General features: G+C 37.8%; 1 protein-coding gene across 1 annotated transcript in view; it reads left to right on the top strand.

The window, feature by feature from the left end:
• Positions 1-12,825, top strand: part of PEX13 (peroxisomal biogenesis factor 13) — a 34,271-nt gene extending 21,446 nt beyond the window's left edge. Inside the window, exons 3-4 of the mRNA NM_002618.4 lie at positions 6,561-6,686; positions 9,307-12,825. Of these exons, the coding sequence (NP_002609.1) occupies positions 6,561-6,686; positions 9,307-9,605 (425 nt within the window). The 3' untranslated portion in view covers positions 9,606-12,825. The remainder of the gene's footprint in view (positions 1-6,560; positions 6,687-9,306) is intronic.

Raw genomic sequence — 16,037 nt, forward strand, 5'->3', positions numbered from 1 at the left:
TGCCCAAGGTAATTTATAGATGCAATGCTATCCCCATCAAGCTACCACTGACTTTCTTCACAGAATTGGAAAAAACTACTTTAAAGTTCATATGGAACCAAAAAAGAGCCAACATAACCAAGACAATCCTAAGCAAAAAGAACAAAGCTGGAGGCATCACACTACCTGACTTCAAACTATACTACAAGGCTACAGTAACCAAAACAGCATGGTGCTTGTACCAACACAAATATATAGACCAATGGAACAGAACAGAGGCCTCAGAAATAATACCACATCTACAACCATCTGATCTTTGACAAACCTGACAAAAACAAGAAATAGGGAAAGGATTCCCTATTTAATAAATGGTGCTGGAAAAACTGGCTAGCCATATGTAGAAAGCTGAAACTGGATTCCTTCCTTACACCGTATACAAAAATTAACTCAAGATGGATTAAAAACTTAAATGTAAGACTTAACACCATAAAAACCCAAGAAGAAAGCCTAAGCAACACCTTCAGGACATAGGCATGGGCAAAGACTTCATGACTAAAACACCAAAAACAATGACAACAAAAGCCGGAATAGACAGATGGGATCTAATTAAACTAAAGAGCTTCTGCACAGCAAAAGAACCTATCATCAGAGTGAACAGGCAACCTACAGAATGGGAGAAAATGTTTGCAATCTACCCATCTGACAAAGGGCTAATGTCTAGAATCTACAAAGAACTTAAACAAATTTACAAGAAAAAAAACAACCCCATCAAAAAGTAGGCAAAAGATATGAACAGATACTTCTCAAAAGAAGACATTTATGCAGCCAACAAACATATGAAAAAATGCTCATCATCACTGGTCATCAGAGAAATGCAAATCAAAACCACAATGAGATACCATCTCATGCCAGTTAGAATGATCATTAAAAAGTCAGGAAACAACAGATGCTGGAGAGGATGTGGAGAAATAGGAATGCTTTTACACTGTTGGTGGGAGTGTAAATTAGTTCAACCATTGTGGAAGACAGTGTGGCGATTCCTCAAGGATCTAGAACTAGAAATACCGTTTGACCCAGTGATCCCTTACTGGGTATATATCCAAAGGATTATAAATCGTGCTACTATAAAGACACATGCACACGTATGTTTATTGTGGCACTGTTCACAATAGCAAAGACTTGGAACCAACCCACATGTCCATCAATGATAGACTGGATTAAGAAAATGTGGCACATATACACCATGAAATACTATGCAGCCATAAAAAAAGATGAGTTCATGTCCTTTGCAGGGACGTGGATGAAGCTGGAAACCATCATTCCCAGCAAACTATCATAAGGACAGAAAACCAAACACCGCATGTTCTCACTCATAGGTGGGAGTTGAACAATGAGAACACATGGATACAGGGCAGGGAGCATCACACACTGGGGCCTGTCAGGGGGTGGAGGGGCTTGGAGATGGGTAGCATTAGGAGAAATACCTAATGTAAACGACGAGTTGATGGGTGCAGCAAACCAACATGACACATATATACCTCTGTAACAAACCGGCACACTGTGCACACGTACCCTAGAACTTAAAGTATTAAATGTAAATATATATATAGGTATATACATATATATATATACCTATATATTAAAGTATAGTATATATAAGTATATATGTATATATATAATATATGTGTATATATATAAAAAAGTATATATATGTGTATATATATAAAAAAGGTATATATATATACACCTTTTTACTAAGAATGGTTTTTAGGTAGAGCTAGGGCAGAAGAGACCAATCAGGAGAGTCAAGCAGCCATTACCTTAATTCAAGTGAGAAGTGATGGTGGCTTGGCTCAGCATGGCAGTGACATGGGTCCTAAGATAGAGTCAGATTGGGATTACTCACCCCTGTAATCCCAACACTGGGAGGATGAGGCCTGCAGATCGCTTAAGCCTGGCAAATCGCTTGAGCCCAGAAGTTTAAGGCCAGCCTGTGCGGCATAGGGAAAACCTGTCTCTACAACAGTTACAAAAAGTATCCGGGTGTGGTGGTGCATGCCTATAGTCCCAGTTACTTGGGAGGCTGAGATGGGAGGGTGGTTTGAGCCTTGGAGGTTGAGCCTGAAGTGAGCTGAGATTGTACCACTGTACTCCAGTTTGGGTGACACAGCAAGACCCCGTCTCAAAATAAATAAATGGAAGAACTAATATAAGTGAATGATACTACTATCATACATAGAAAGATAGAAAAGAAGACAGACTAAGATGGAAATCAGGAAGAACAGAAGTAGAACCATATTATTGCTACATTATGGAGGAAGAGTGGAAGGATGATGAATGATGTAAGGTTCTACAATAAGATCAAGAACTGAGAAAAGATTATTAGATCTGGCAACTGGAAGTCATCAAGCTCCAGCAAGTAGTTTTGGTAAAGTGGAGAAGACAGAAACTGTAGCAGAGGATAAAGGGTAAATAAAGTCAGAAGATGTGGAAAAAGAAAAGATTAGCAGTGAATGGAAGGAGGGAGGAAAAGAATGGCCAAATTGAGTGATCAAGTTGTTGTGGGAGATTGTCAGTTTTTTGTTTTGCTTTGTCTTTTCAGAAGTGAGGAGATCTGAGAATGTTTTTAGGCTAAAAGAAAGGAGTCAGTAGAGAAGGAGCAGTTATAAATAAGGGAAAGATAGGAGTTAAATGATGAAGAAGCTACTATAGGAAGTAAGAGAGGGTGTGATCTTACGGAACCTGGCAGGTAAAAAGGAAGGACGGTTTTTTATCTGAGTCAAAAGGAGAGGAAATCGGTAATGATACAAAGAGATTTTTGAGGAGAAGCAAAATTGAGGTCCTATTACTTTAGCTCTTAGAGCAGGGGTTGGCAAACCGTGGCTTGTGGGCCAAATCTGGCCTGCTCCTATTTTTGTACAGCTCACAAGCTAAAAATGGTTTTTATACTTTTCAGTTGCTGGGAAATTAAAAGAATGTTTTAAAAATTGAAATAATCTGTGATGTGAAAATTATATAGAATTCAAATTTCATTAATAAAGTTGTATTGGAGCACAGCCACACTTATTTCCATACATATTGTTATGGCTGCTTTTCCACTGTAACAGTGGAATTGAATAGTTTGCACAGAGACTATATGTGAAATTCCGATGGCTTCACTTTTGCTCTGCCCACTACAAATTTCAGTAACTTAGTTATAACTTGATAGCATGATGAGTAATATATACATTGTTATACTACAGTGGGTTTTTTTTGAAATTATGAATTCATATATGACACACAAGAAAAAAGTGTACTTTGAGTGTCATATTTTCAAGGCACAGTATAGTATGAATTATTTCGTTATTGAATTAGATAGTAAAAAAAACTGTATTTATTATACAATGACACTATAGCTATGTTAAATGGCTATACTACATATCAGCATTACCAGATTGAGCACTCATCACAGAAAATCAACAGTCAAAAAAATTAGAAAATTTAAAATGGAATTCTCATCACAGCAGAATTTCCGCATCAAAATAAAAATAAAATAAAATGAGGCTGCAACCAAAATAAGTTCCTGAGAGGTTCATATGTTACCCAAGCAAGGAAACCTGTTTACTCATGGTCATTGCAACAGCCAAAAAAAATATGTCCAGAGAAAGTAAACTTGTTTAAGATTATTAGCTTCTCAGTGAGAACAGTTCCTTGAAGAGTTGATGGCATTTTGAACAACATGGCCAACTTAAAATAAGACAAATGATTTGAATGTTTTTCCTTGGCTCATCATGACCCAATGGATATTAATACTTGCTAAATCTGTTGGCTAAATGTTGTCATCATGGGAGTGAGTTCATTATCTCGAGAGTGAGTTTGTTATACAAGCTAGTTTGGCCCTCTTACTCTCTCGCATGCACTCTTTTGCCATGTGATGCCTCCTGCCATGTTATGACACAACAAGAAGGCCCTTACTAAATGCCCCTTGATCTCGGATTTCCTAGCCCCCAGAACTGTGAGCAAATAAACTTCCATTGTTTACAAATTACCCAGTCTGTAGTATTCTGTTAAAGTAGCATAAAACAAAGACAGGCTGGGTTCGGTGGCTCATGCCTGTAATCCTGGCACTTTGGTAGGCCGAGGCGGGCGGATCATGAGGTCAGGAGATGGAGACCATCCTGGCTAACGTGGTGAAACCCTGTCTCTACTAAAAAAAAAAAAAAAAAAAACAAATTTTCAAAAAAAAGACAGTACTGCTTAGTTGTTTATTTGAGAAATCAATGGTGAATTGGAAATGACTGAAGAATTAGCCTCTATGAATAGTCATGGTTCAACTACAGACAAGAACATTTTCAAAGAAGGTGAAAACACTGATTCCGTACAACCTGAATCTGCTAAGATGTGTTGCACCTGATAATGGTGAAAATTCTAGGTGGAGCAGGAAAAGGCCTAGTTGGACAAAAGTTACAAAGGTTTTGAAAATACAGTTTTTTTGTTTATGGTTATTCATTGTATTATCAGCAGCCACATTGCAGAAAATATTTGAATTTATCATGTGTTATTGAACTAGTAGTGTCAAGGTAAAGTTTATTCACTCTTGTGACATAATCATTGTCAGTTTTGTGAATTTTTGTCAGATACAGAAGCTGAAGATCCCGACTTGCCCTACCGCATGGCAATTCAATGGCAGAACAAGGTTTAAGTTTTATTTTATTTTTTTTGAGATTGAGGCCAAGAATGAAATTTTTCTGAACAGAACTCCTTTTCAGCTATTGTTATTAAACCCATTCAGCTTTGGAAATCACCTTTTACTGCAGACTTAGTTAAATTCTGAGTTCTTTTTGGAGACAGGGTCTTGCTTTGTCAGCCAGGCTGGAGTGCAGTAGCGTGATCATAGCTCACTGCAACCTCACACTCTTGGGCTCACATGATTCTCCCACCTCAGCTTCCCAAGTAGCTAGTACTAGAAGTACACACCACCACACCTGGCCAATTTATTTATTTATTGTGGAGACGAGATTCCACTGTGTTGCTCAGGCTGGTCTTGAACTCCTGGCCTCAAGCAATCCTGCCTTAGCGTCCCAAAGTGCTGAGTGAGATTACAGGCATGAACCACCATGTCCAGCCCAGACTTAGTTATATTCTTTGTTGTTGTTTTCTTTTTGAGACAGGGCCTCACTCAGTTGCCCAGGCTGGAGTGCGTAGTGCAGTCTCGGCTCACTGCAACCTCTGCCTCCCAGGTTCAAGCGATTCAAGCTGAGACTATAGGCGCGTGCCACCACATCTGCCTAATTTTGTTTATTTTTTTGTAGAAACAAGGTTTCCCTATGTTGCCCAGGTTGGTCTTGAACTGCTGGACTCATGCAATTTCCCCTGTCTCAGCCTCTCAAAGTACTGGGATTATAGGCATGCGCCACCATGCCCGGCTAATTTTGTATTTTTAGTAGTAATGGAGTTTCTCCATGTTGGTCAGGCTGGTCTCAAACTCCCGACCTCAGGAGATCCACCCGCCTCGGCCTCCCAAAGTGCTGAGATTACAGGTGTGAACCACCACGCCTGACCTATATTCTTAAGTAATTCAAACGGAAACCACAAAGCAGAACAGTGCTTATATGCAAAACTTATGCTGGAGTAAAGTTTTGACAACACCTAATACAGTTTGACTCACAAGTAATGTCACACTGCTTTATAGACCTCTCAGACTGTCAGAAGTTAACACAAGCAGTATCTCCATTCCCACGCAAGTTGGCAGCAGATACATTTTCCAAGCTTAAGCTATTAATACAATGCCAGAGCATTTTTTGGACCTCCATGCAAGCACAAAGGAAATTTCCATATTTCAAAATCCATTTAACTATGCAATTGAGGAACTTCCACTTAATCTTCATTTGGAAGTGATTAATCTGCAATGTAATAACATGGTAAAAGGCAAATATCAAGAGAAGAATTTAACAGAATTATATTCTGGCCTATTACTCTCCCAACTAATAAATATGCTCAATTAAAACCACATACTCATAGACTCATATTAGGATTTGACATTACCTATCTGTGTGAAAAGGCATTTTCAAAAATGCAGTACCTCAAATTTTATTACAAATTAGAATTAGCAAGTGAATATTTATAATTGATTTCCAATTAAGTGAAATATCCTTCCCCCAAAATATTTCATTCTTCTAAGTAACTTCCAAATAGACCTGTATTACCAAAAAGAAACATGGTTATTATATTTTTAATCTTGTCAATAAATTTATGGAAATTTTGTTTCCTCTTTTTATAAAAGTAATTGCCCAATATCCTGTTTTGCCTCTTGGCTTTCAAAGTCTAAAATATTAACTATCTGACCCTTTTCAGAAAAAATTTGCCAACCCCTGGCTCACGGTAAGAGAGCGGGAAGTTGGAGCTTAAAGAAAGGAAAAAGTTCATAATAGGTATCTTTAGTGGATCTATTGTTGATTTAACATAGTATTCATTATAGTTTTTACTTGGGAGGGGAGGACTTTTCTCTTGGCAAATTTATGCAGTTTGCAAGCCATAGCCAGTGAAATATCTGCATTTTTCTTTTGTAAATTTTATTAACCTAATTTTAATTTGGCTTATAGACAGCATCAACTGGGCAAGTGGTGAGGATGACCATGTAGTTGCCAGAGCAGAATATGATTTTGCTGCCGTATCTGAAGAAGAAATTTCTTTCCGGGCTGGTGATATGCTGAACTTAGCTCTCAAAGGTAATAAATTATGAATAAGTTGGAATTATCTGTAAATTTTGATATTCATAAATGCAGTATTAAAAACTACAACAAAGGATCTTGTTCATTGTTAGTTAACTTAGAGATAGTTACTAGAACTTCTTTTTCATGTCAATTTAGAGCTTCCAAATCTGGAGGAGTCAGGAAGAAATGCCCCAGCAGAGTTATTCGAATACTATTTCACTGAGATAAGGAAAGGCTTTGTTTATATAGGCTTTTCTAAACTCAAAATACTTGAATTTCAAACTGTTAATCCCCACACAAAAACGTGATGTCAGTAACTAAACATAACAAATCTAATAAAGCAAAGGAATTATGTAACATCATCTAAGCATTGCTGTTAGTCCTTGTGGACTGGTGTTGCTTCTTTATTACTTCAGCAGTGTTTACCTCAGAAATTTCATCATAAGTATTTTAGGAAATAGTGTCATGAAGTATTATAGAACCCCAGCAAGAGATTTATACGCATCTCGGGTTTATTTTTGGACCAAGTCACTGATACTTTTTAATGACTCTAGGCAAAATGACCTTTTCCTTCACCCTTCCTGAGTAATGATTATCAGGATTTTTATGGATTTTTTTAAATATGTGTATTTATGGGGATTCAAGTTTATTGCAAAAAGTGATGTTTTGTTGATAAAGGTACTAATAACAATAACATGTTATTTATTGAGTACTTACTATGTACAAGGTACTGTATTTTACATATTTCATTTAAGCCTTACAATAATACGGTGAAGTGGTACTATTATTATCCTGTCATTGTTTTACCCTTGAAGAAACTGAGACTCAGAATAAGTAAATTGTCCAGTATCACAAAGCAAAGGTGCAATAGAACTGGACTATGAATCTAGGTTTGTCTAACTTGAGACCTTGTGCTTTTAACAACTCTGGCTGTTTTTTCATGGAAGGATCTATTTATGGAAACTTCACCCTTTTTTTGGTTTTAGTCATTTTTTGCAGGGAAGAAATACTTTCAATGTTCAAATCATTACTATGTAAATAATTGAAAATTTTGGATGAGATTACTAAATCTTTGCCTCATCCCTTTTACAAAAAACCTAGACTTAAGCGAGGTGCAGTGTGTGCACCTATAGTCCCACCTACTCAAGGGGCTGAGGCAGAAGGATCACTTGAGGCCAGGAGTTTGAGGCTGTAGTACATTGTAATCACACCTGTGGAACAGCACCACTGCACTCCAGCCTGGGCAACGTAGTGTAACCTTGTCTCAAGAAAAAAAAAACAAACCTCTAGACTTTTAGGTATTCTATTTGTATTTTTCTTTCTTTTTTTTTTGTTTTGAGACAGAGTCTAGCTCTGTTGCTCAGGCTCGAGTGCAGTGGCACGATCTTGGCTCACTGCAACCTCCGCCTCCCGGGTTCAAGTGATTCTCCTGCCTCAGCCTCCTGAGTTGCTGGGACTACAGGCACATGCCACCACGACCAGCTAGTTTTTGTATTTTTAGTAGAGACAGGCGTTCACCATGTTGGTCAGGCTGGTCTCGAACTCCTGACCTTGTGATCCGCCCGACTTGGCCTCCCAAGGTGCTGGAATTACAGATGTGTACCACCACGCTGGGCCTATTCATATTTTTCTTATAGGGAAAATAGCAATTTACTATTTTGGATTTCAAACGAATGATTTTTTAAAGATTTGTTGTTAGAGACAGGAACAACACAGATAATTTTAATTAGAGGTCATGTGGTTTCTTTCAGTTACATAACACTTCAGAAAAATTTTATATTTCATTATTCTTCAATGAATAGTGCCTCTTAACACTAGCTTGCTTCTTGGCTTTCCTCCATTGCTCAAGAAAAGTATGTTTGGGCCTTTGGAACAAAATCGGTCGTAGACATGGTAAATTTGTTTTTTCCTGTTATTATAGAGCATTAAACATTAAAAAGTCTTATATTGTGCCTAAATTATAATGTTGAACTAAAATTGTAACAGTTAAGCAGCTTTTTAAAGATATAGATAAAATAGGAAAATACAATAGAAAATTGAGTACATTAAATAATCTTTCTTTAAGCTTAGAGTATTGCCTTTATTTATCATATGGCTAGAAATAACAAAGGTCTTCAATTTTTTGCCCATCTTGGATTGAAATTAATATTTACTGTCTTCAGGATTGTTTATTACAATCACATGAAACGAATTTTATATTTTTGCCAAAAGTAGGCTAAGAAAGCTGAGTGCATTAAAGGTATATCTTTTCTATACTTATTCCTAACTTACCCAGTTGAGAAGGAATAAGATATTCATTTTTTAGACTCCAGTTTAAAATATGAAAGACATTGATGTTAGTTTTCAGTTTTGAGAGAACTAAATCTCCCTACTCTATGAATGGACCAACTGATAATAAACTTTATGTTCTTCAAGGTGGAAGGAAATATTTAGTAAGTATAAAATAAAAATAGAAGAATGGACCCTAGAACTGTTAAGCCTACTCAGCATTTGATTTTGAATATATATGCATGTACTATTTGTTATCTACTATGTAAGCATAACAGATTTTCCTGAATGTGATATTTTACCATTACTATTCTGTTGGACCTCCAAAGTATATTGTAATTACAAGACTGTCTTTTTTTTCCATCAGAACAACAACCCAAAGTGCGTGGTTGGCTTCTGGCTAGCCTTGATGGCCAAACAACAGGACTTATACCTGCGAATTATGTCAAAATTCTTGGCAAAAGAAAAGGTAGGAAAACGGTGGAATCAAGTAAAGTTTCCAAGCAGCAACAATCTTTTACCAACCCAACACTAACTAAAGGAGCCACGGTTGCTGATTCTTTGGATGAACAGGAAGCTGCCTTTGAATCTGTTTTTGTTGAAACTAATAAGGTTCCAGTTGCACCTGATTCCATTGGGAAAGATGGAGAAAAGCAAGATCTTTGATATCTTTCATGTTTGCCTGCAGTTGAACAATACTTTAGAGTACTTTTTAAAATTATTTCTCACAAAGAAATGAATGTACAATCCAATGAAAACATTTGTTATTGGCTATTTCAGGTGTTTTGCTGCTAGAAATTATTAAAGTTACACACTAGTATGTTGGTCTGGTGACCTGGTTACATTTTATTATACACATTATTGGACCATAAGGACATTTGTTTCACCTAGATTTTAAGATTATGGAGACTGCTGTCATTTTTATCTTATTTAAATCTCTAGGTTTATTGGAAGAGTAAGATTGATGAACTATAGCATGCACAGTTTGGTACAGTAGAGATCATTAATACTTTTAAAAGTTCTGCATTAATTGACTTGGAATCCTTAGAAATGGAGTGGTGACATGTCAGTATGAGAACAGGCAAAAGGTAAATTTTTTTTTTTTTTTACAACCTTAAGTAATCTCAATAATAAAATTTTCTGATCTGTATTATATCCAGTGTTGGGTTTATATTTTCACCCACAAACAACTGACACTGCTATCTTTTACTGTATTTTTAAAAATTTAATTTGAAAAGGTCACCCAGAAGCATTCTGAAGGAAATGGTTCTAGAATTATAGAGTATGTAGCCCTAATAGTTTTCCCTCCTAGCAAAAAGTCTGAAATTTATCTTTCTTACAAACTGTTCCATTTCTTCTAAGGATCCCTTAATTATTTATCTCTTTAAGCCAGGCATGGTGGCTCACGCCTGTAATCCCAGCACTTTGGGAGGCTGAGGCGGGCAGATCACCTGAGGTTGGGAGTTCAAGACCACCCTGACCAACATGGAGAAACCCCATCTTTACGAAAAATACAAAATTAGCTAGGTGTGGTGGCACATGCCTGTAATCCCAGCTACTCGGGAGGCTGAGGCAGGAGAATTGCTTGAACCCCAGGAGGCGGAGGTTACGCTGAGCCGGAGATCTCGCCATTGCACTTCAGCCTGGGCAACAAAAGCGAAACTCCATCTCAAAAAATAAAATTATTTATTTCTTTAAAATATGACTAGTTTTCATACTGGGTGAATCAGAAGTATATGAAAGGTATACTTTCTTTTCCTACAACAAATACTTGAGTTCTTTTGAGTTTGCACTTAATGATATAATCAGTTATAATAGTAATTTTTAATATTTTCATAGATTGTTTGCTTCTACCTTGTGTAATTTTTTAAATTCCATATTTAGGATGCTCTGTAAATATTGAAAATGTGTCACATTGGATACATTTTTCTTTTAGGTTTAGTTTTTACTACTGAGACTTATTTATAGTCTTAGTGCTCTATTGCCATTTAGAATATGATAATCCTCATGCCTTTAATCTCAGCACTTTGGGAGGCCAAGGCGGGCGGATCACCTGCGGTCAGGAGTTTGAGACCAGCCTGGCCAACACGGTGAAACCCTGTCTCTACTAAAAATACGAAAATTAGCTGGGTGCAGTGGCGTGCACCTGTAGTCCCAGCTACTCAGGAGGCTGAGGCAGGAGAATCACTTGAACCCGGGAGGCAGAGGTTGCAGGGAGCTGAGATCATGCCACTGCACTCCAGCCTAGGGGACAGAGCAAGACTCTGTCTCAAAACAAACAAACAAAAAATAATAATACGATAATGCTATTTGACGTGTTTTTTGGTTTATAATGATTTTAAATGCAGTTAACTTTCAGTACACTGAATATTTCCCCAGAAAATTGGAAACTTCATATACTTGGCTACGAACATACTACAGAGTAATACTATCAGGAATACAGGTGTATAAGAATACATTTATAGATATTGTTGAAAACTTTGAACTGTTTGATAAAAATTGTGATTTAGTATTTTTTCTTTTGTCTTTTTTTGAAACGGAGTCTCACTCTGTCGCCCAGGCTGGAGTCCAGTGGCGCGATCTCGGCTCACTGCAAGCTCCGCCTCCCGGGTTCACGCCATTCTCCTGCCTCAGCCTCCCGAGTAGCTGGGACTACAGGCGCCTGCCACCAGGCCCGGCTAATTTTTTTTGTATTTTTAGTAGAGACGGGGTTTCACCGTGTTACCCAGGATGGTCTCCATCTCCTGACCTCGTGATGAGCCCGCTTCGGTCTCCCAAAGTGTTGGGATTACAGGCGTGAGCCACCGCACCCAGCGATTTAGTATTTTTTTCTAATAGACTATGTTCAACAAATAAGTAATTCTCGAATAGTTCAGATTAAAACATACAGGAACCAAGTACATACCCAGCATAGAAGAACTTTACTAAAGGCTTCTTGGAAAGCCCTTTTTTGAAACGACAGTATCGTAAGTAACATATCATTTATAATAGAAATCTTGACCCAGTGCAGAAAAATAAATATAGTAAAATTTATTTATCTTTGGCCAGTTTTCCAACACCCAGGTATTAGCCTTGAAGTTGAAGAGATAAGGTTTCTTGTATATTATTTTTCATTTGTGTTCTACAATTAAAGGTTCTGCTTTGATTTGTCAGATAATTTATAGAAATTTTGTTCTCAAAACAAATGTTTGATAAAACAGATTATTAAATTTGGGGTTGAGATGTCTAAATTGAATGCTAGAAGTAAAGTAGAAGTGACCACTATTAAAGATGTATAGGGAGAAGAGTACAGCACAAAGTGATAAAATAGTGACACTTTTGTAGGGGTGTTTATTGTTTGGTTAAGTCTGCTAAATTACGGTATGCATTATCTGGTGACTATTTGTGCCTGAAAATTCGTTTTGTATTAAAATTCTGGAGAAGGAATTCAGGACTAGAATAAAGAGAAATTTTGTAACCTTTTTTATCATGACAGTTTTAGAATAATTTTTTTAGCTGAGATTAAATGTTCAAGGCTCCAATATTATTTTTAGGAACTTATTTAAGGAGTGCTACTTTACAGAAATTACTAACACACCAAAACATTATTAATTAAATAAAATATAAGTTTACAATAATAAAACATGTTTCTTTTAATTTTTCTGATTATATTTTATGAGTTCAGAAAGGAAATGGTAAAAGAACTATACATTTTCATGTTTTAACATTTTATGTACGTACTTGATTCTGTCTGTGTCATAATTACACATTTACTTGAACACAGCTATCCTTTATCTTGTGCTTTCTTTAATAGAAAAATGAACAGAAACTGAATGCAGTTAAATTTTTATTTTTAGTAGGTTGTGAAGTTACTTTTACTGGAGAAATAAAAATATGTTAAACTTGATTGACTTTTTAAGATAAATTGTTAACACTTTTGCAGGATTAGAATTAATATGAAGTATCTCTTTAACATTATTGTATATATTACCTACTGCAAACCTATCTGTTCTGTTTCTTTGTGATTTAAAGAAAAATAGGCCAGGCATTGTGGCTCACACCTATAATCCCAGCACTTTGGGAGGCCAAGGCGGGCGGATCACAAGGTCAGGAGTTCGAGACCAGCCTGACCAATATGATGAAACCCCGTCTCTACTAAAAATACAAAAATTAGCCAGGTGTGGCGGTGGGTGCCTGTAGTCCCAGCTACTTGGGAGGCTGAGGCAGGAGAATTGCTTGAACCTGGGAGGCAGAGATTGCAGTGAGCCGAGATCGCGCCACTGCACTCCAGTCTGTGCGACAGAGCGAGACTCCATCTAAAAAGAAAAAAACAAAAAAAAAAGAAAAATAATACATTTATATAGAATTACCTACAGGTGTGTTAAATAAAAACACTTCATACCTAGATTTTGGGGGATCTAGATTCTAGTTTAGACATCACTGCTTACTGTAAGATTTAAGTCCCATTATTTATTTTTCAGTTTCCTAAATTATAACAATAGGCATAGCTGCTACACCTGCCTCACATGAAAGTGCTTTTTTTTAATGTTAATTTTAATTTTATTTTTGAGACAGGGTTTTGCTCTTGTCACCCAGGCTGGAGTGCAATGGCGAGATCTTGGCTCACTGCAACCCCCAACTCCTGGTTTCAAGCGATTCTCCTGCTTCAGCTTACCTAGTAGCTGGGATTACAGACACCCGCTACCATGCCCAGCTAATTTTTGTATTTTTAGTAGAGTCGGGGTTTCACCACATTGGCCAGGCTGGTCTTGAACTTCTGACCTCAGGTGATCCACCCGCCTCAGCCTCCCCAAGTGCTGGGATTACCGTCATGAACCACCACGCCAGGCCTGAAAATGCTTTTTAAAAAATACAGGGGCCGGGTGCGATGGCTCACGCCTGTAATCCTAGCACTTTGGGAGGCCGAGGCAGGCGGATCACCTGAGATCAGGAGTTCAAGACCAGCCTGGGCAACACGGTGTGATCCCGTCTCTACTAAAAATACAAAAAATTAGCAAGGCATGGTGGCACACACCTCTAGTCCCAGCTACTCGGGAGGCTGAGGCAGGAGAATTGCTTGAACCCGGGAGCCGAGATTGCACCACTGCACTCCAGTGTGGGCAACACAGCGAGACTCTATCTCCAAAAAAAAAAAAATTTATATATATGTATATATATATAGAGAGAGAGAGGTGGGTGTGGTGGCTCACCCTGTAACCCCAGCACTTTGGGAGGCTGAGGTGGGTGGATCACCTGAGGTCAGAAGTTCAAGACCAGCCTGACCAACATGGTGAAACCCCATCTCTCCTAAAAATACAAAAATTAGCCGGGCATAGTGGCGAGCACCTGTAATCCCAGCTACTCTGGAGGCTGAGGCAGGAGGATCACTTAAACCTGGGAGGCAGAGGTTGCAGTGAGCCAAGATCATGCCATTGCACTCCAGCCTGGGTGATGAGTGAAACTCCATCTCAAAAAATAGAATTATACTTGTGTTCTGTTTTACCTTAAGAGTTTTTATTCATCTCCCTCCTGCAATTTCATACTCTACGCTCCCTATTTAATATTTGTCCTTCCAAGCCATCTCTCATGTTTTGGATATAGTTTCTTGAAAACCATATAATATTTATATGTTTAAATTTTTTACATAAATGATATTGTGGCATAAATTTTATTCTCCTAACTTTCATGAAGTATTAGGTTTTTAAGACCTACCCACGTTACTTATATAATGTGCTTTTTTTTTTTTTTTTTTGAGACAGCGTCTCGCTCTGTCACCCAGGCTGGAGTGCAGTGATGCAATTTCAGCTCATTGCAAGCTCCGCCTCCCGGGTTCACACCATTCTCCTGCCTCAGCCTCCCGAGTAGCTGGGACTACAGGCGCCCACCACCACGCCCGGCTAATTTTTTGTATTTTTAGTAGAGATGGGGTTTCACCGTCTTAGCCAGGATGGCCTCAATCTCCTGACCTCGTGATCCACCTGCCTCGGCCTCCCAAAGTGCTGCAATTACAAGCGTGAGCCACCACGCCTGGCCTATAATGTGCTTTTGACCGGTGCATATTATTCTATTGTATTCATATGCCAAAGCTTATCTTTTCCTCTAGTCACAAATACTTATATTTTTCCTAGCTATTTCCACTTCTGCAAGCTTATACATGTCTTCCTATGAAGGAAGAATGCCCTTTCAGGAAACCTGCCCTTTCATTTCTTTGCTATATATGTCCTAGAGTAGAAAGGCTGGAGTTTGAGGTATATGCATATTTAATTTAAGTCATGCTGGATCGTTCTCAGGAATGGTTGTCACAGTTTTCCTTTCCACAAGCAAGACCTGAGGGTTTCATTTTCTCTTCATTTTCAGTAGCACTTGATATTTTCTGATTTTTGCTAATCTGATGTGTATAAAATTGTATTTTTTCTTAATCTGCATTATCTGATTACTGATGAAGGTGAGTATTTGCTTTTTAGTCATTCCGATTTTCCATTCTGTGGATGGTCTGTACTTATAATTTGTCTCTTTTCTATTAAGTTTTTCTTTCTTGCTGATTACAGTATAGTATATACAGTGTGTGCATGTGTGTGTATATATATGTGTGTGTATATATATGTGTATATATATGTGTGTGTGTATATATATGTGTATATATGTGTGTGTGTGTGTGTATATATATATATATATTTTTTTTTTTTTTTTTTTGACACAAGGTCTGGCTCTGTCGCCCAGACTGGAGTGCAGTGGTGTGATCTCACCTCACTGCAACCTCTACCTCCTGAGCTCAAACCATCCTCCCACCTCAGCCTCCCAAGTTGCTGGGACTAAAGGCGCGTACCACCACGCTTGGCTAATTTTTGTGTTTTTTTGTAGAGATGGGGTTTCTCCATGTTGCCTAAGCTGGTCTCGAACTCGTGAGCTCAGGAGATCTGCCTGCCTCTCTGCCCCCAAAGTGGTGGGATTACAGGTGTGAGCCACTGCTCCCAGCCAAGAAATTCTTTATATGTAGATACTATTTTCTTGTCAAGTTCAGATGTTGGAAATAACTTGCCATTTGTTCATTCTTGTCTTTGTTGTTTTTCATATAATAGAAATCCCCCCAATGTTTTATATCTTTTATGTCTTTATTTT

The sequence above is a fragment of the Homo sapiens genome, chromosome 2, assembly GCF_000001405.40.
Source record: "Homo sapiens chromosome 2, GRCh38.p14 Primary Assembly".
NCBI lineage: Eukaryota > Metazoa > Chordata > Mammalia > Primates > Hominidae > Homo > Homo sapiens.